The sequence below is a fragment of the Homo sapiens genome, chromosome 11, assembly GCF_000001405.40.
Source record: "Homo sapiens chromosome 11, GRCh38.p14 Primary Assembly".
Classification (NCBI taxonomy): Eukaryota; Metazoa; Chordata; class Mammalia; order Primates; family Hominidae; genus Homo; species Homo sapiens.
Window position 1 is genome coordinate 55,977,032 of NC_000011.10, and position 21,368 is coordinate 55,998,399.

The following is a 21,368-nucleotide window of genomic DNA, read 5'->3' on the forward strand; positions in this document are numbered from 1 at the left end:
TCAAGACCAGCCTGACCCAACAGGGAGAAACCTCATCTCTACTAAAAATACAAAATTAGCTGAGCATGGTGTCGCATGCCTATAATCCCAGCTACTCAGGAGGCTGAGGCAGTAGAATTGCTTGAACCCAGGAGGCAGAGATTGTGGTGAGCTGAGATCACACTCATTGTACTTCAGCCTTGGCAACAAGAGGGAAACTCTATCTCAAAAAAAAAAAAAGCATGATTTCAGGAGTCCCAATTTAGCCTCAAAATGAAGAGTATAGAAGGGTGTGATTGGAGCAGAAAGATAATAGCTTAAAAACCAGCATAATGAGAAAGTTAAAAGCTTCTTTCCAAGCCATCGGGAAATATGCAGTAAATTCTTGTGAACTAAAATTTCTGTACCGTACTATCAAACACTAGAACTCATTTATTCCATCTTTCTGTATTTTTGTACCCAATTATCAACTCCTCTTCATTCCCCATCCCACCCCTTTTCTTTCTAGCCTCTGCTAACCACCTTTATACTCCACCTTCATGAGATTCCTTTTGTGTGCATGTGTGTGATGGAGTCTCATTCTATTGCCCAGGTTGGAGTATAGAGGCATGATCTTGGCTCACTGCTACCTCCACCTCCTAGTTTCAAGCGATTCTCCTATCTCAGCCTCCCAAATAGCTGGAACTACAAGCATGCACCACCGCACCCGGCTGATTTTTGTATTTTTAGTAGAGATGAGGTTTCACCATGTTTGCCAGGCTGGTTTTGAACTCCTGGCCTCAGGTGATCCATCCGACTTGGCCTCCCAAAGTGCTGGGATTACAGGCAAGAGCCACTACACCTTGCCAAGATTTTCTTTTTTGTTCCTACATATAAGTGAGGGCATGTAATATTTGTCATTCTGCACCTGGCTTATTTCACTTAATATACTGACCTGCAATCTTATCAATTTTTGCTGCAGTGGAGAGAATTTTATTCTTTTTTAGGCTGAATAATACTTCACTGTAATGTGTATACCACAGTTTCTTAATTGAAACAAGTTTTTAAACAACAAATACGTTTAAAATGTACCAGAATGTGAAATTTTAGGGATACCCTGACGATTTTATTCTTTTTTAGTTCCCATCTTATGTACGTACAAGTGTGAAAAAACAGCAATCAATGTGTGTATAAATCTATAACTTCAACAAATGTAAAATGAAAATGCTAAATGGTAAGAAAAAACAGCATAAGAAAAATTTGTATGGTGTTGAAGGGCAATGCATTTGAAGATAATATTTGAAGAAATCATGTTACATTTAACTTCTGTTCTTACTCATTGGAGCTTGATCCCTCTAGGAACTTTATCATTGGAACCATCTCTGGTGCTTTAAAAAAAAAAAAAAAAAAAAAAAAAAAAAAAAAAAAAAAAAAATCTGCGTACCCACACAGGTGCAAGTAAATCAGAATCTCAGGTGATGAGACACAGGCCTCATCATTTGTAAGCTCCCCAGGTGATTTCAGTCAAAGCCAAGATTGAAGACCGGTGACATGGATCTCTACACATAACCTGCCTAAATAGATTCCATAGAAGTAGTCTCTAAAGAGATTCCACATGAACTCAGGAAGAGGATGTGAATTTGATGTACAGTATGTCCTCACTGAACGTCTTTGATACTGTCTTGGAAACTGAATCTTTAAGCAAAATTATGTATAGTGAAACCAATTTATTCCTCATCAACGTTATAAGTAAACAACTTTGAACAAAACAGTGGTGTTGGAGGACCTACTGTACATTGTTTCCATAAAGTCAATTTTCAGGCAAACACAAAATGAAGTCAGGACTTCCTGTATATGAAAAGATGGTTGTGATTTCACCTGGAAAACAGGTTTATTGCTCAGAAACTAAAGGAGGCCACCTAGGTAGAGAGGATTCAGTCGTGATGTTTACGCTAAACAAAGGATCCCAGAATACTCATCATTCCAGTTAAAGGCATAACAAAGAAGACAATATTCACATAGGAAATGTGGAAAGGAATAAAAGCCATCAAGCAACAAAAATAATGTGACCAAGGGGGTAGGATTTGCAGATGTAGAGATTTAATGTGCTTGCCCTTTCTAACGCACACAAGAAAAAGGATGGAACAGATCATGAGATTAGACTGTTCTGCTGTGCAGCCTCCACAGGGCACTTTGAATGTCCCTGTTTCTCAGGCTGCAGATGAAGGGGTTCAGCATGGGGGTGACCACCACAGCGTACATTACTGACGCCACCACATCATTCCTGGGGGATGATGACACAGCGGAAGTCAGGTACACGCCAATGCCTGTTCCATAAAATAAGCAAACAACTGCCAGGCGAGAGCCTCAGGTGGAGAAGGCTTTATAATTCCCATCTGAGGATGGAATTCTTAGAATGGGGAAGGCAACTGTATAGTAACACAAAAGGATCCCTGAAATGCGAAGAAAACCAAATATAGTACTATCTAAATATATGTATATGTTATTGATGTCACTGTCAGAACAGGCAAGGTTGAGACGTTGAAACGGGTCACAGAAAAAATTAGAGATTTCCACATTCTTGAAGCAGATGAATTGTAACACAATCAAATTGTGCAGCTGGGAATCCAACAGGCTAAGGAAAAAAGGCACCAAAACTAATAAGACACAGAGGTGAGGATTCATGATGCCTGGGTAGTTCAGGGGGTGACAGATGGCCACAAACCAGTCATAGGCCATCACAGTCAGGATCATGTCATCCTTACATGCAAAAAGGACAAAGAAAGACATCTGTGTCAGGCAGTCCCCATGGTAGATGACTCTGCTATGCGATTGCATCTCCTCAATCATCTTGGGGACCGTGGCCGAGGTGAAACCGATGTCAGGCAAGGACAGGTTGGAGAGGAAGAAGTACATGGGGGTGTCGAGGTGGGAGTCAGAGCCGATGGCCAGGATAATGAGCAGGTTCCCCAGCACCGTGACCAGGTACATGGACAGGAAGAGCCCAGCGAGGATGGGCTGCAGTTCTGGATCCTCTGAGAGTCCCAGGAGGAGGAATTCTGAGACAGCTGTGAGATTCTGTGGCTCTGTGTCACTTGGACACCATGAGAAGAAAAGAGGATTGGAAAATTAAAAGATAAAAACCAGCACTTAATGCTGTGTGTGTATTTTGGATACAAGCAATTCACAAGGAACATTTTCACACTTGAGGACCACACACCCTCAGCAATATTTCTCCGTTGTGACAAACCCAAAAATCTCAGAATTATTACATAATTTACTTTTTTGCTATTCAACTCTTTCTGTACATACCTACTTTAGAGAAAAGCCACTGACCAATGTTAGAAGATCAAAATGTAATATATAACAAATCCATGATCTCAGTAAAATATGGCCTATTCTTTTCAGAAAAAATAAAAATAAATAAAATGTTCTTCTCTCTTTAAGAAAAAAAAACTCAATCTAATTGAAAGAAATTAAGAAGCAGTGAAACACACTTTATTTTATTCTGACACTGTGCTACAAATTCCTTTGATGTAGAATATTTATAAGCACTATACAAGAGCTAGGACTGCATTATCTAAAAACTAAATCAAACCTTACAGTTTTTAATCAGAAGATCTTTTTACGTGCTGGTTACTTTTCATATTTATTATCATCCTTAGGTTTTCTGACATCATTTCTTCATAAAAGTAAATGCACGGTCAAATATGGGAGCTGTGTTTCCGGATTCATTAAATGTATAACTCTTGGCCGGGTGCGATGGCTCACACCTGTAATCCCAGCACTTTGGGAGGCTGAGGGTGATGGATCATCGGAGGTCAGGAGTTCCAGACCAGCCTGGCCAACATGGTGAAACCCCGTCTCCAGTGACAATACAAAATTAGCCAGGCATGGTGGCGGGCACCTGTAACCCCAGCTACTCATGAGGCTGAAACAGGAGAATCCCTTAGAACCTGGGAAGCAGAGTTGTACACCCTGAGATATTATTTTTGATATCCTAGGGAGATACTGCTTCTAATATCATAGTGGGCATACACCCTGTGATACTATTTGTAATATCCTAGAAAGATATTGCTCCTAATATCACAGTGGGTGTGCACCCTGTGATATTATTTGTAATATCCTAGGGAGATATTACTCCTAACATTACAGTGGGTGTATACCCTCTGATATTATTCATAATATCTTATGGAGATACAACTCCTGATATCACTGTGAGTGTACACCATGTTTTTACACCCTGTGATGTTATTCTTAATAACCTAGAATAATATTACTTCTAATATCAGAGTGGGTATACATCCTGTGATATTATTTTAATACACTAGGTAGATATTACTCCTAATATCACAGTGGGTATACACCATGTGTGTACACCTTGTGAAATTATTCTTAATACCCTAAGAAGATATTACTCCTGATATTACAGTGGGTGTACACTCTGTGATATAATTAGTAATAATCTAGAGAGATATTTCTCCTAATATCACAGTGGGTGAACACCATCTGTGTACGCTTTGTGATGTTACTCATAATATCCTAGGGAGATATTTCTCCTAATATCACAGTGGGTGTACATCATGTGTGTATACGCTGTGCTGTTATTCATTATATCCTAGGTAGATATTACTCCTAATATCACAGTGGGTGCGCACCATGGGTGTACATTCTGTGATGTTATTCGTAATATCCTAGGGAGGTATTCCTCCTCTTATCACAGTGGGTGTACCCCCTGTGATATTATTCATAATATCCTAGATATTACTCCTAATATCAGAGTGGGTATACACCCTGTGATATTATCTGTAATATTCTAGGGAGATATTACTGTATACGCTGTGATATTATTTGTAACATTTTAGGGACATATTTCTCCTAAAGTCACAGTGGGTGTGCACCCTGTAATATTCTTCCTAATATCACAGAGGGTGTACACCATGTGTGACATTGTTCCTAATATCTAGGGGGGGAGAAGATGATATTAGTTCCAATAGCACAGAAGGTGTACACCGCCCCCACTCTGTGATATTGTTCCTAATTTCCAGGGAAGGAGATGATGACATTATTCCCAATATCACTGGGGATGTACACCCTTCTGTGATATTGTTCTTAATATCCAGGGGTGGAAAGAATGATATTACTCCCAATATCGCAGGAGGTTTACACCACCCCTGTGATATTGTTGGTAATATTCTGGGGGGTAGAGAATGATATTACTACCAATATCGCAGGTTGTGTAAACATCCCCTGTGATATTGTTTCTAATGTCCCGTGAAAGAGAAAACATTACTCCCAATATTGCAGGGGGTGTTCACCTTTTTGTGATATTGTTTCTCATATCCAGGGAAATAAAGGATGATATTACTCTCAATATTGCAGAGGGTGGACACCCCTTTCGGATATTGTTCCTAATACTCAAACGGGGAGAGGATGATATTACTCCCAATATGAAGGAAATGTAAAGCACCCTTGTGATATTGTTACTAATATCCAGAGAGGAAAAGAATGATATTACTCCCAACAGCCTAGGAAATGTACACTCGCGCTGTGATATTTTTCCTAGTATCCGGCGGAGAGAGGATCTTATTACTTCCAAAGTCGCAGGGTGTGTACACCCCCTCTGTGATCTTGTTGCTAATATCCAGGTTGGGGGAGGATGATATTACTCCCAATATCGCAGGGGTGTACACCTCCCCACCCCGTGATCTTGTTCGTAATTCCCTGGATTGAGAGGATGATATTACTGCCAATATCGCAGGGGTGTACACCCCCCTGTGATACTTTTTCTAATATTCAGGGCGGGAGTGGATAATATTACCCCCAATATCGCAGAAGGTGTACATTCCTCCTGTGATATTGTTCATAGTATCCAGGGAGGAAGAGGATGATGCTACTCCCTATATCGCAGGAAGAGTACGTCCCTTCTGTGGTATTGTTCCTAATATCCAAAGGGGGAGCGGCTGACATTACTCTCAATATAGCTGGTGTTTTCCATCCACCTCCCCCCGCCCCCTTGATATTGTTCCTAATATCCAGGTGGGCAAAGAATGAAAAATGAGGGTCTCATGGAAGTAAAGGGTAGTATTGTGGATACCAGAGGCTGGGAAGAGTTTGTGTGGGGAGCAGGGGTAGAGAGAGGCAGGTAAATGGGTACAAACGTACAGTCAGATAGGAGGAGTGAATTCTAGTATTAAATAGTAGAATAGGGAAACTACAGTTAAAAATAATTTACTCACTTTGGGAGGCCGAGGTGGCTGGATCACGACGTCAGGAGATCGAGACCATCCTGGCTAACACGGTGAAACCCCGTCCCTACTAGAAATACAAAAAATTAGCGGGGCGTGGTGGTGGGCGCCTGTAGTCCCAGCTACTCTGGAGGCTGAGGCGGAGCTTGCAGTGAGCCAAGATTGCGCCACTGCACTCCAGCCTGGGTGACAGAGCGAGACTCCATCTCAAAATAAATAAATAAATAAATAAAATAATAATAATAATAATAATTTACTGTATGTTTCTAAATAGCTAGAAGAGAATGTTTGAAATGTTCTCAACACAAAGAAATGATAAATATTTGAGGGGATGAGTATCTTAAATATACTGATTTGATCATTATACATTTTATGCATGTATCAAAATATCACATGTACTTCCTAAATAATTATTCATATCAATTTAAAAATGCTTAAAGATTTAAAAATAAATAAAATCGAGTTTGATGTTTGTAACTTTTCTTCTTATCTCTATTGGCATCTTTCTCTGAGTTCATGTTACTTGGTTCTCTTGGGCCCTACTGTTTCTGTTTTTCATCTGGCAGTTTCCAAAACCAGAACAGGTTCAGAGAGACTCTCAAGGGCCTGAATACTGGGGGAGAAAGCCGTATCATTACAGTCAGCCACAGAGAGGTCATTTTCATTCGCTCTTTAGTGTTTTTTGTTTGTTTGTGTCTTTTCACTAACATTCACGAGATCTGGCATTTCAGATAATTCTGACAACATTCCTCATCCATAACACATGACTTGGACATGATGATTTTATAATCTGTAAATTAAAATCTCAATATTTATTTCATATTTGTCTGCTGTTTACAAGCGTTCTGTTTCCCAACTTAATAAACCTTCTATTCTAGTCCTCACCAAGTCTGTGCCTCTTTTTTTTTTCATTTCTCTGTTTCTCTTAGCAGTGTGTTAATGAATCTGACATGCCCTGAAAAGAAATTTAGCTAATAAATTCCATTTTATTTATTTGTTTTACAATACATAGTTAAAATAATCATACAAATTTAGGAGGCTGAGAGTTTTGAGCCCAATTCAGAAACTCAGTGTTTTTGATAAAGATTTTATCAGGTTTCTCTCCTGCTTGCACCTCAGAATGCCTTGGAGTTCCTTAATTAATATTTATCACCTCATGCTTTACTAACAAATATGAGGAAAATAATTTTGTTAAATGGATGACACATCCCAAGAAGTCTTCTGAAGCTCAGGGATATTACAAGCATATGTGCACTGTTTTACAGTAATATTAAAATAAAAATAAAAAAAGAAATTTATAAAGATAACACACACCGGCCGGGCGCAGTGGCTTACGCCTGTAATCCCAGCACTTTGGGAGGTCGAGGCGGGCGGATCACGAGGTCAGGAGATCCAGACCATCCTGGCTAACACGGTGAAACCCCGTCTCTACTAAAACTATTTAAAGAAAGATTAGCCAGGCATGGTGGCGGGCGCCTGTCGTCCCAGCTACTCTGGAGGCTGAGGCAAGAGAATGGCGTGAACCTGGGAGGCGGAGCTTGCAGTGAGCCGAGATACGGCCACTGCACTCCAGCCTGGACTACAGAGACTCCGTCCCCCGACCCAAACCCTCCGAAAAAAAAATCTAACACATACCAATTACTTAGCCAAAGCAGAAAATTATATCTAAGTTTAATAATGAATGACCACTTTTCCGCTTTCTGACACGAGAAATTTCATTACACACAAGCACTCTATGTATTTTCAGTAAAGCTATTAAGTTATTTGAATATTCCTCTTTTACAGATTACATATTCTCAAAATTTACCTACTTTGTATTTGAATTTTCATGTAGACACCTGAAGTGTATCTTGAAGCATGTTGCCTATGAATTAATCCACTATTTTTATTTTATTTGACTTATGTAAATTTAAATGAATTACTTCATTAATCTAGATACTAACCTTTAATAATTTACAAATCTTTAATTTCACATCTTAATAGACCAATGAAAATCACATTGTGCACATTAGTTTTTATTTAATAAACTAAATCTAAACTTGGTATTACATACTAATAACACAGGATTTCTATTCATTTTATGCCTTAATGTAGGTCTCCATCTATTAATATAATTTTATTTTGGGGGTTATTTGGATATAGGTAATCCTTGAATCTTGATTCTATCATTCTTTCCAGCTTGTTTGCTTACTTTTCTAACTTTGGGACCTTCACAGATTTTGAAAACTAGTTTCCACTTGGCCTTATCTAATTACTGATGAAGAAATTGACTCAACATAGCCAATAGCATAATTTTAACAAATAAATTATTCAAAAACCATTAAATGAGGCAAAACATTGGTTGATAGCTGCAAATTTTGAGAATGTGGTAACAATAAACACCTAAATGAAAGAAAAGACTAGAAATTAGAAAAGTTGGGCTTGGCACAGTGGCTCACACCTGTAATCCCAGCACTTTGAGAGGCTGAGGCAGGCAGATCACAAGGTCAAGGGTCCGAGACCAGCCTGGCCAATATGGTGAAACACCGTCTCTACTAAAAAATACAAAAATTATCCCGGCACGGTGGCGGGAGCCTATAGTCCCAGCTACTCAGGAGGCTGAGGCAGGAATTGTTTGAACCAGGGAGGCGGAGGCTGCAGTGAGCCGAGATCGCGCCAAGGCACTCCAGCCTGGGCAACAAAGCGAGACTCCATCTGAAAAGAAAAAAGAAAGAAAGAAAGAAAAATTGGAATGCAATAGAGATAGTTGCATAACAAAGAGACTAAAATATTGTCTTTATAAGAGAGGGTTTCAGAAATATTGTTAGTTTCTAAAGAAAGAAGATGAGAAAATCACATTCAATACAATAATTAGCAGTTTCTTAATGCTTTTACAAGTTAATTTTCTTTTGGGTTAAATAAAATAAAAATATTAGGAACTTTGTTTTATACAAATGCATTGAACAATATGCAAGAAAATATAATAACTAATATAAATCTGATGAATCAGGTAAACAATTAAATTTACATAAAAAGTACACATTCAAGGGGTGACGGACGGCACCTGGAAAATTGGGTCACTCCCACACGAATACTGCGCTTTTCTGACGGGCTTGAAAAACGGCGCACCACGAGACTATATCCCGCACCTGGCTCCGAGGGTCCTACGCCCACGGAGTCTCGCTGATTGCTAGCACAGCAGGCTGAGATCAAACTGCAAGGCGGCAGCGAAGCTGGGGGAGGGGCGCCCGCCATTGCCCAGGCTTGCTTAGGTAAACAAAGCAGCCGGGTAGCTCGAACTGGGTGGAGCCCACCACAGCTCAAGGAGGCCTGCCTGCCTCTGTAGGCTCCACCTCTGGGGGCAGGGCACAGACAAACAAAAAGACAGCAGTAACCTCTGCAGACTTAAATGTCCCTGTCTGACAGCTTTGAAGAGAGCAATGGTTCTCCCAGCACGCAGCTGGAGATCTGAGAACGGGCAGACTGCCTCCTCAAGTGGGTCCCTGACCCCTGACACCCGAGCAGCCTAACTGGGAGGCACCCCCCAGCAGGGGCACACTGACACCTCACACAGCAGGGTATTCCAACAGACATGCAGCTGAGGGTCCTGTCTGTTAGAAGGAAAACTAACAAACAGAAAGGACATCCACACCAAAAACCCATCTCTACATCAGCATCATCAAAGACCAAATGTAGATAAAACCACAAAGATGGGGAAAAAACAGAACAGAAAAACTGGAAACTCCAAAAAGCAGAGCGCCTCTCCTTCTCCAAAGGAACGCAGTTCCTCACCAGCAACGGAACAAAGCTGGTGACTTTGACGAGCTGAGAGAAGAAGGCTTCAGATGATCAAATTACTCTGAGCTACGGGAGGACATTCAAACCAAAGGCAAAGAAGTTGAAAACTTTGAAAAAAATTTAGAAGAATGTATAACTAGAATAACCAATACAGAGAAGTGCTTAAAGGAGCTGATGGAGCTGAAAACCAAGGCTCGAGAACTACGTGAAGAATGCAGAAGCCTCAGGAGCTGATGCGATCAACTGGAAGAAAGGGTATCAGCAATGGAAGATGAAATGAATTAAATGAAGCGAGAAGGGAAGTTTAGAGAAAAAAGAATAAAAAGAAATGAGCAAAGCCTCCAAGAAATATGGGACTATGTGAAAAGACCAAATCTACGTCTGACTGGGGTACCGGAAAGCGATGGGGAGAATGGAACCAAGTTGGAAAACACTCTGCAGGATATTATCCAGGAGAACTTCCCCAATCTAGCAAGGCAGGCCAACGTTCAGATTCAGGAAATACAGAGAACGCCACAAAGATACTCCTCGAGAAGAGCAACTCCAAGACACATAATTGTCAGATTCACCAAAGTTGAAATGAAGGAAAAAATGTTAAGGGCAGCCAGAGAGAAAGGTCAGGTTACCCTCAAAGGGAAGCCCATCAGACTAACAGCGGATCTCTCGGCAGAAACCCTACAAGCCAGAAGAGAGAGGGGGCCAATATTCAACATTCTTAAAGAAAAGAATTTTCAACCCAGAATTTCATATCCAGCCAAACTAAGCTTCATAAGTGAAGGAGAAATAAAATACTTTACAGATAAGCAAATGCTGAGAGATTTTGTCACCACCAGGCCTGCCCTAAAAGATCTCCTGAAGGAAGCACTAAACATGAAAAGGAACAACCGGTACCAGCCGCTGCAAAATCATGCCAAAATGTAAAGACCATCCAGACTAGGAAGAAACTGCATCAACTAACCAGCAAAAGAATGAGCTAACATCATAATGACAGGATCAAATTCACACATAACAATATTAACTTTAAATGTAAATGGACTGAATGCTCCAATTAAAAGACACAGACTGGCAAATTGGATAAAGAGTCAAGACCCATCAGTGTGCTGTATTCAGGAAACCCATCTCACGTGCAGAGACACACATAGGCTCAAAATAAAAGGATGGAGGAAGATCTACCAAGCAAATGGAAAACAAAAAAAGGCAGGGGTTGCAATCCTAGTCTCTGATAAAACAGACTTTAAAACAACAAAGATCAAAAGAGACAAAGAAGGCCATTACATAATGGTAAAGGGATCAATTCAACAAGAAGAGCTAACTATCCTAAATATATATGCACCCAATACAGGAGCACCAAGATTCATAAAGCAAGTCCTGAGTGGCCTACAAAGAGACTTAGACTCCCACACATTAATAATGGGAGACTTTAACACCCCACTGTCAACATTAGACAGATCAACGAGACAGAAAGTCAACAAGGATACCCAGGAATTGAACTCAGCTCTGCACCAAGCGGACCTAATAGACATCTCCACCTCAAATCAACGGAATATACATTTTTTTTCAGCACCACACCACACCTATTCCAAAATTGACAACATACTTGGAAGTAAAGCTCTCCTCAGCAAATGTAAAAGAACAGAAATTATAACAAACTATCTCTCAGACCACAGTGAAATCAAACTAGAACTCAGGATTAAGAATCTCACTGAAAACCACTCAACTACATGGAAACTGAACAACCTGCTCCTGAATGACTACTGGGTACATAACGAAATGAAGGCAGAAATAAAGATATTCTTTGAAACCAACGAGAACAAAGACACAACATACCAGAATCTCTGGGACGCATTCAAAGCAGGGTGTAGAGGGAAATTTATAGCACTAAATGCCCACAAGAGAAAGCAGAAAAGATCCAAAATTGACACCCTAACATCACAATTAAAAGAACTAGAAAAGCAAGAGCAAACACATTCAAAAGCTAGCAGAAGGCAAGAAATAACTAAAATCAGAGCAGAACTGAAGGAAATAGAGACACAAAAAACCCTTCAAAAAATTAATGAATCCAGGAGCTGGTTTTTTGAAAGGATCAACAAAATTGATAGACCGCTAGCAAGACTAATAAAGAAAAAAAGAGAGAAGAATCAAATAGACGCAATAAAAAATGATAAAGGGGATATCACCAACGATCCCACAGAAATACTAACTACCATCAGAGAATACTACAAACACCTCTATGCAAATCAACTAGAAAATCTAGAAGAAATGGATAAATTCCTCGACACATACACTCTCCCAAGACTAAACCAGGAAGAAGTTGAATCTCTGAATAGACCAATAACAGGAGCTGAAATTGTGGGAATAATCAATAGCTTACCAACCAAAAAGAGTCCAGGCCAGATGGATTCACAGCCGAATTCTACCAGAGGTACAAGGAGGAACTGGTACCATTCCTTCTGAAACTATTCCAATCAATAGAAAAAGAGGGAATCCTCCCTAACTCTTTTTATGAGGCCAGCATCATTCTGATACCAAAGCCAGGCAGAGACACAACAAAAAAAGAGAATTTTAGACCAATATCCTTGATGAACATTGATGCAAAAATCCTCAATAAAATACTGGCAAACCGAATCCAGCAGCACATCAAAAAGCTTATCCACCATGATCAAGTGGGTTTCATCCCTGGGATGCAAGGCTGGTTCAATATACGCAAATCAATAAATGTAATCCAGCATATAAACAGAATCAAAGACAAAAACCATATGATTATCTCAATAGATGCAGAAAAGGCCTTTGACAAAATTCAACAACCCTTCATGCTAAAAACTCTCAATAAATTAGGTATTGATGGGACGTTTTTCAAAATAATAAGAGCTATCTATGACAAACCCACAGCCAATATCATACTGAATGGGCAAAAACTGAAAGCATTCCCTTTGAAAACTGGCACAAGACAGGGATGCCCTCTCTCACCACTCCTATTCAACATAGTGTTGGAAGTTCTGGCCAGGGCAATCAGGCTGGAGAAGGAAATAAAGGGTATTCAATTAGGAAAAGAGGAAGTCAAATTGTCCCTGTTTGCAGACGACATGATTGTATATCTAGAAAACCCCATTGTCTCAGCCCAAAATCTCCTTAAGCTGATAAGCAACTTCAGCAAAGTCTCAGGATACAAAATCAATGTACAAAAATCACAAGCATTCTTATACTCAAACAACAGACAAACAGAGAGCCAAATCATGAGTGAACTCCCATTCACAATTGCTTCAAAGAGAATAAAATACCTAGGAATCCAACTTACAAGGGATGTGAAGGACCTCTTCAAGGAGAACTACAAACCACTGCTCAAGGAAATAAAAGAGGATACAAAGAAATGGAAGAACATTCCATGCTTATGGGTAGGAAGAATCAATATTGTGAAAATGGCCATACTACCCAAGGTAATTTACAGATTCAATGCCATCCCCATCAAGCTACCAATTACTTTCTTCACAGAATTGGAAAAAACTACTTTAAAGTTCATATGGAACCAAAAAAGAGCCCACATCGCCAAGTCAATCCTAAGCCAAAAGAACAAAGCTGGAGGCATCACACTACCTGACTTCAAACTATACTACAAGGCTACAGTAACCAAAACAGCATGGTACTGGTACCAAAACAGAGATATAGATCAATGGAACAGAACAGAGCCCTCAGAAATAACACTGCATATCTACAACTATCTGATCTTTGACAAACTGAGAAAAACAAGCAATGGGGAAAGGATTCCCTATTTAATAAATGGTGCTGGGAAAACTGGCTAGCCATATGTAGAAAGCTGAAACTGGATCCCTCCCATACACCTTATACAAAAATCAATTCAAGATGGATTAAAGACTTAAATGTTAGACCTAAAACCATAAAAACCCTAGAAGAAAACCTAGGCTTTACCATTCAGGACATAGGCATGGGCAAGGACTTCATGTCTAAAACACCAAAAGCAATGGCAACAAAAGACAAAATTGACAAATGGGATCTAATTAAACTAAAGAGCTTCTGCACAGCAAAAGAAACTACCATCAGAGGGAACAGGCAACCTACAAAATGGGAGAAAATTTTCGCAACCTACTCATCTGACAAAGGGCTAATATCCAGAATCTACAATGAACTCAAACAAATTTACAAGAAAAAAACAAACAACGCCATCAAAAAGTGGGTGAAGGACATGAACAGACACTTCTCAAAAGAAGACATTTATGCAGCCAAACAACATATGAAAAAATGCTCATCATCACTGGCCATCAGAGAAATGCAAATCAAAACCACTATGAGATACCATCTCACACCAGTTAGAATGGCAATCATTAAAAAGTCAGGAAACAACAGGTGCTGGAGAGGATGTGCAGAAATAGGAGCACTTTTACACTGTTGGTGGGACTGTAAACTAGTTCAACCATTGTGGAAGTCAGTGTGGCGATTCCTCAGGGATCTAGAACTGGAAGTACCATTTGACGCAGTCATCCCATTACTGGGTAAAATCATGCTGCTATAAAGACACATGCACACGTATGTTTATTGCGGCATTATTCACAATAGCAAAGACTTGGAACCAACCCAAATGTCCAACAACGATAGACTGGATTAAGAAAATGTGGCACATATACACCATGGAATACTATGCAGCCATAAAAAATGATGAGTTCATGTCCTTTGTAGGGACATGGATGAAATTGGAAGTCATCATTCTCAGTAAACTATCGCAAGAACAAAAAACTGAACACCGCATATTCTCACTCATAGGTGGGAATTGAACAATGAAATCACATGGACACAGGAAGGGGAATATCACACTCTGGGGACTGTTGTGGGCTAGGGGGAGGGGGGAGGTGGGAGGGACAGCATTGGGAGATATACCTAATGCTAGACAACGAGTTAGTGGGTGCAGCGCACCAGCATGGCACATGTATACATATGTAACTAACCTGCACAATGTGCACATGTACCCTAAAACTTTAATTAAAAAAAAAAAAGTACACATTCAATGAATTAAAAACTAAGCAAAATCACCAAGTGATAAGAGCTCTTGATTTTAAAATATTTGTAGACTTTGTGAGTTTAGACATAAGAGACTTGAATTAGAGGGTAGGGAGCATAGCTCAAAACACGTCTAAAGCTCCGAATCTCAAAATAACTGGATTTCATCTCCCAAACATTGTTTCTAAGTTCTACATCAAAAGAAATATAAGCATTTACTTGTACAATATTTTAGTCCCATATGTAATTCCATTAAATCATACCAGTACAGGGGAGGCAGAGATAATACAGCGGTCAGCTGGTATGGAAACCATAGGTGAGCTGCTTAGTGGACAGGGCTCCAGGGCCCGGTAACCACTGTGGTCCAGTAAGGTGAGAGAATAATCTGTAGGTGCATAGACAACACCAAATTATTCATGAACATCTATCTGGCCAAATTCACCCAAATGAACCATTGAGGGAAATAAGATGGTGGAGTTGGGCAACATTTTGTGACAGGCCATAGTGTCTGCTGTGCCCACATCCCAGATGATGTGAACATCGCCACTTCTATCAGGTGCAAATTCACTGACAAGGTCAAGAGCAAGAGCCATGGGGAATTTCCCTCCATAAAAGTGTCTGTCTCCTTACCAAGTCACAGCCCCAACTCAGCTTCTTTCAGAGTTCTACCAAGGCAACTTCCTGTTTATCTCCACATTATTAATGCCTACATTTAATACAAATACCATTTTCAATTAATACGTCATTGCAATTGAGAAAAGACTTTTGTGAACGGAAATTCCAAGAACTTATTTTGAAGAATATTTGTCAGATTCATTCACCGAATATTAATCTATCACTTGCAACTATGCAATGATTAAAATCTTTGCAGCACTTGAACATGTGTGCATGTGTCTTTCTGAATGTGTGTCTGTCTCAAGGAAAGAGGGAGGGACAGGGCTAGAAAATTTGGAGCAGAATGAAAGAGAATAAAAGAATAGCTGTAATTGATGCATACTAATTAGAGTTTTCTTGATAGCACATTTTTGCAGAAACTCTCACATTCTTTAAATACACTCATGCATGTGTGTGTGTGTGTGTGTGTGTGTGAGAGAGAGAGAGAGAAAGACAGACAGGCAGAGAGAGAGAGAGAGAGAGAGGAGGTAAAAAAAGCAGAGTTTAGAATTCCTATTAAAACTATAGTCCTAAAATTTGATTTTATTCCCCCAAGAAGTAGTTCAGTGAATACAAAGGAGAAATATATATTAAACTTATAGCATTTCTCACCTATGTGATATTTAACAATCCCTTAAAAATCATAAATGGTGAAAAATAATGCATAAGAAAAAAAGAATGGATAATAGAAATTATTTTATATTTCCAGTTTCATGTATCATTGTGGCTTTGGTCTGTGAACATATATTCCATTTGATTTCTAGATGAAATTTCATTTAAAAATATTCATTATTTTGGAGAACCTAACAAAGATATATAGAATCATAGTAAAGTCAACATGCCATGATCTTGAATCAGTTTGGTAACTTTCTTTATCCCTAACTGGATACAACTATTAACAGAATGTGTTTACTGAGAAAATATTCTAATAAAAAAATGTAGATATAAACTAGACTTTGAAAGTAACTAAAATATGCTCTTTAGTTGAGATTTTTAGCCAAACAATCACAGAAAGGAAGAGGTCCTTTTCCTGCTAATTACATTCGCTAAAGCCTTCTTTACTTCCTTACTCCTGAGGCTGTAGATCAGAGGATTCAACATGGGAATCACCACTGTGTAGAACACAGAAGCCACTTTGTCCTGATTCAGGGAGTAGCTGGAACTAGGTCTCAGGTAAGTATAGATGCAGGTGGCATAGAACAGAATTATGGCTGTCAGGTGAGAGGCACACGTGGAGAAAGCTCTGTGCCTCCCCTCCCCCGAATGCATAGAAAAAATGGAGAAGAGAACGTAGGAGTAGGAGGAGAGGATGACAAGCAGAGTCCCCACAATATTCACACCAGCCAAAATAGAACTTATGCTTTCTTTCAGGATTGTGTCAGAACAAGAGAGCTTGAAAAGTGGGGGACTGTCACAGAAGAAGTGATGGATGACATTGGAGTCACAGAATGACAAGCTGCTGACATGGCTTGTGTTGACCATGAAGTTCAGCAACCCTGCAGCAAAAGCCCCGGCTGCCATTTTTAGGTAGACGGTCCTGGACATGATCAAGGAGTAAAGCAGCGGGCGACATATGGCCGCATACCTGTCATAGGCCATTAACCCAAAGAGGATGCATTCGGTTGTCGCCAGGGAGATAAAGAAGTACATCTGTAGGAAGCAGCCAGCAAAAGAGATGGTTTTCTTCTCTGATAATAAATCTGCCAGCATCTTTGGGGTGATGGTAGTTGAGTTACAAACGTCCACAAAGGACAGGTTAGCCAGGAAGAAATACATGGGTGTGTGAAGCTGGGAATCGATCCTGATTAAGAGGATCATCCCGAGATTTCCCAGTACTGTAAGTGTATAAATCACAAGAAAAAACAAAAAGAGGATAATCTGTAGCTCCAGCGTGTCTGCTAATCCCAATAGGACGAACTCAGTCAGTGAGGTATAATTTTTTCTGGTCATTTATGAGAAATATATTTTGTGTAAACTTTGTATTAGTTGCACATATTTTCCTCTCTAAAAGTTTACAAAAAAAAAAAAAAAGAAGTGTTAATAGGACAGTCACATATGGCAAATAAATAAACAAAAACCCAGAATAATATGTCATAATTACTGAAGTAAGAGGAATATTAGAGGACCCATGGGTAAGCATTTACATGTAATAAACAATTGATTGTATTGAATTGGAGTTGTAGGCTTCTCAAATCACTGGCTGAAGTCCACATACTCTATTTCTGTGAATACAAATACTTTGTTCTATTGTTTCTATACTAGCCCACATCCAAAATGTAAAATAATAAAAATATTCTTGCTAAAATTTCTCCCATTCTCAGAGCAGGTATGTGAATTTAACTCAATGCATTCTTTTTTAATTTTCTCAAAATCACTCTGTACATTCTTCAACTCCAAAATTCATACTTTATCTCTTGAGAATGGCTTATGTGTAGCCCTAAGCAGCAAAAAGAGTGACCATTTCAAATAATCAATATTTTCACATCTATTGTATCCTTAAAAATAATTTAGTGATGTTTTAAAAGTAAACCAAATGATTGTTATACTACAATGTCCATTATCAAGTTAATTCCAAGAAGCAGCCGACAGGGTACCTATCCACCTTACTTAATAACATTACCAAATCTTTAAAACTTCCTCCCCAGATGGCTACTTACCTAAGTAAGTAACTATTATTTTTTTTTTATCAGAGGTTCTTAGTTGGAGCTTAAAAATAAAAGAAGAAAATTTAATTTAAAAAATGCAGTGGAAAATTGAATTATCTATTGGTAAAATCTTAAGATGCCTTATGATTAAATACTTGTTACTGCACTTGTATTTTGTTTTTCTCCAAGAAGACAGGGTAACCATGGGGAGTAGATTATAGCTATTAATTGCAGAGTCAATTCTCTACAGGCAGGAGCTCTGTCTCAAAACAATATTAAATATAATATGATCACATAGAGATGTATGGAATCAGACATTATGAAAGTCTTACATCATAAAGTGGTTTGTGACCTCTGGAAAATAATTGTCTATCTACACTGACTCTCTCTGTGTCTGTATTTTTAGCTTATTCTAAGTGCGTGACTAAACTATCGTTCTCCCCCTGTGCCATTTTAGTATGTGGGTGCACCCCTCTTTTTTTCGGTGTGACTTAAAATTCAGCTATTTTCCTGTATAAAGGTAGTGAGAAAGGGTAGTTAATAAATATCTATTGTATGATTTTTAAAGAAATCCTATAACCTGAGCAAATAGCACAATAGATTTAAAAATTATTATATATTTATGATTTTGAAATTGTGTTGGTTTTTGCCGTTACTATTTGTGATTCTTATCCTGCAAAGACATGAAGCTATAGATTTTCTAGATCTAAATTCAAAAAGAAGACAACGTAAAATATACTACATTGGGTATTCAAATGCAAAGAGAGTCTATTTGCATAGGGAACTCATAATGCAGCAATTGCTATGTTAATTATTTTGTTTAAATTCTCAATTACTTCTCTCAACCAGTCTTTCAGGTTGACATTATTATTCGCACATTTTATAGATGAAAAAAGTAAGGCTTTAATCTGTTAAACAACTTCCCCAAAGATAAACTGTTGGTAAGTAGAGGAATAAACTTGAACACAATCTTCAACATAAAGAACTAATACCTAGCTCGCTATTTCCTATCATGCTCCATTTTAGCTTATATGTGTATATATATGTGTGTATGTTTACGTGTATGTGTATATGTAGCGTGTGTGTATGTATATCTCATAGTGAATCTAATCCTCCAATCTTCAAAGCACGTAGGAGACATCAGCATCTAAAGGGAGGCCTCTAACATAATGCAAGAAATTTGTTAAAAAGTTGACTTTTAAAGATCTCACCATCATGTCTGATATGGTTTGGCTGTGTCCCTACCCAAATCTCATCTTGAATTGTAGTTTCCATAATCCTCACATGTCATAGGAGGGACACCATGGGAGGTAATTGAATCATGGGAGTGGTTACCCTAATGCTGTTCTTTTGTGATAGTGAGTGAGTTCCCATGAGATCTGATGGTTTTATAAGGGACTTTTCACTCTGTTGCTCATTCTACTTCTCCTTGCTGCTGCCATGTGAAGAAGAATATGTTTGCTTCCCCTTCTGCCATGATTGTAAGTTCCCTGAGGCCTCTCCAGCCATGCTTAACTGTGATTCAATTGAACTTCTTTCCTTTATAAATTACCCCATCTTAGGTACATCTTTATTAGCAGTGTGAGAATGGACTAATACAATGCCATCAAGACCTATGCCATGATTGATTATTACCTATTATATTTTCAATATTTATCTGCTTATGTATGTAAGAATACATAACTTAAGGAATGAAAGTATGTGAAATAATTTTTACTGGAGAAACTCAACTGTGAATTGAAAGAGATGGAGGAAAAACAATATATTCTCAATTCATGAATTTTGTTAGAATCAAGGAGAGAAGATAATACTATGAAAAAAGAAGAGATTGATGTTATCAAACCTTAAAAAAGCAAAGACTGAAAAAGTAGAATGAACTGGAAGTTTTAATTTAAAGTTTTGAAAGGAGTTTATTCAGGAAGAAGCAGAAAGAACAATGAATAAAAATACTTTAATTCATGAATGTTTAAATGGGGACAATACGGCCTTAGAAACCATTAATTTCTTAAAGCCATTGTGGTATAGCTTTCCTACAAAAAACTTTCATTTTTTTTCTTTTTTTAAATTATTATTATACTTTAAGTTTTAGGGTACATGTGCACAACGTGCAGGTTTGTTACATATGTATACATGTGCCATGTTGGTGTGCTGCACCCATTAACTCGTCATTTAGCATTAGGTATATCTCCTAATGCTATCCCTCCCCTCTCCCCAACCCCACAACAGTCCCCGGTGTGTGATGTTCCCCTTCCTGTGTCCATGTGTTCTCATTGTTCAATTCCCACCTAGGAGTGAGAACATGCAGTGTTTGGTTTTTTGTCCTTGCGATAGTTTGCTGAGAATGATAGTTTCCAGCTTCATCCATGTCCCTACAAAGGACATGAACTCATCCTTTTTTATGGCTGCATAGTATTCCATGGTGTATATGTGACACATTTTCTTAATCCAGTCTATCATTGTTGGACATTTGGGTTGGTTACAAGTCTTTGCTGTTGTGAATAGTGCCGTAATAAACATACGTGTGCATGTGTCTTTATAACAGCATGATTTATAATCCTTTGGGTATATACCCAGTAATGGGATGGCTGGGTCAAATGGTATTTCTAGTTCTAGATCCCTGAGGAATTGCCACACCGACTTCCATAATGGTTGAACTAGTTTACCAATGGAAAAACTTTCATTCTTAAGGGTACAGTTTGATGAGCTTTGACAACACATACAGTCTTGTAACAACTACCACAATTAAGACAGAATATTTCATTTAGCCTCATAGATTCCATTATATTTCTTTATATTTAATTCCTCTCCTTCCTCTAGTCCCTGACAACCACTGGGAAACCACAGATGTGATTTCTGTAATTCTTTTCCCCTTTTTAGAGTATGATCTAAGTGAAATCATACAGCTTATAGCCTTTCAAATCAGGCCTTCATCTTTACTATGATGTTTTGAAATTCAACCATGTTGTTCTTTTATCACTTTGTTTTTTGTGAGGTTTTTTTGCCTTTATAAAAAAGAAACTTCCAAAAGCAATGGACTAATGGACTACTAAGTAGTAGTCCATTCCATTATGTAAAACTA

The 21,368-nt window shown here is 38.6% G+C and overlaps 1 protein-coding gene and 1 pseudogene across 2 annotated transcripts, besides 3 other annotated features; both read right to left on the reverse strand.

Annotated features, from left to right (window-relative positions):
* Window positions 1–1,671: 1,671 nt before the first annotated feature.
* Window positions 1,672–9,374, reverse strand: OR7E5P (olfactory receptor family 7 subfamily E member 5 pseudogene; annotated as a pseudogene). The gene is made up of 4 exons (NR_027688.2): window positions 9,250–9,374; window positions 8,647–8,900; window positions 6,198–6,276; window positions 1,672–3,046 (listed from the first exon to the last, which is right to left on the reverse strand). The product of NR_027688.2 is annotated as an olfactory receptor family 7 subfamily E member 5 pseudogene (transcript).
* Window positions 8,837–9,414: an enhancer, noted in NCBI's record as "OCT4-NANOG-H3K27ac-H3K4me1 hESC enhancer chr11:55753344-55753921 (GRCh37/hg19 assembly coordinates)". NCBI's record gives its function as "activates a minimal SCP1, AML or CMV promoter by ChIP-STARR-seq in primed H9 embryonic stem cells {active_cell/tissue: H9 hESC(primed)}" and the evidence as "EXISTENCE:reporter gene assay evidence [ECO:0000049][PMID:30033119]".
* Window positions 9,415–9,991: an enhancer, noted in NCBI's record as "OCT4-NANOG-H3K27ac-H3K4me1 hESC enhancer chr11:55753922-55754498 (GRCh37/hg19 assembly coordinates)". NCBI's record gives its function as "activates a minimal SCP1, AML or CMV promoter by ChIP-STARR-seq in primed H9 embryonic stem cells {active_cell/tissue: H9 hESC(primed)}" and the evidence as "EXISTENCE:reporter gene assay evidence [ECO:0000049][PMID:30033119]".
* Window positions 14,909–15,051: a silencer, noted in NCBI's record as "fragment chr11:55759416-55759558 (GRCh37/hg19 assembly coordinates)". NCBI's record gives its function as "represses an EF-1alpha promoter that drives an FKBP-Casp9 reporter gene in an ReSE screen in K562 erythroleukemia cells {active_cell/tissue: K562}" and the evidence as "EXISTENCE:reporter gene assay evidence [ECO:0000049][PMID:32094911]".
* On the reverse strand, window positions 16,650–17,594 carry OR5F1 (olfactory receptor family 5 subfamily F member 1). Its single transcript, NM_003697.1, has one exon. The coding sequence runs from the start codon at window positions 17,592–17,594 to the stop codon at window positions 16,650–16,652; it is 945 nt and encodes a 314-aa protein (NP_003688.1).
* Window positions 17,595–21,368: the final 3,774 nt, after the last annotated feature.

Excerpts from the sequence above, each read along its gene's own strand:
- OR5F1 (NM_003697.1), bottom strand. The coding sequence starts at position 17,594 with ATGACCAGAAAAAATTATACCTCACTGACTGAGTTCGTCCTATTGGGA.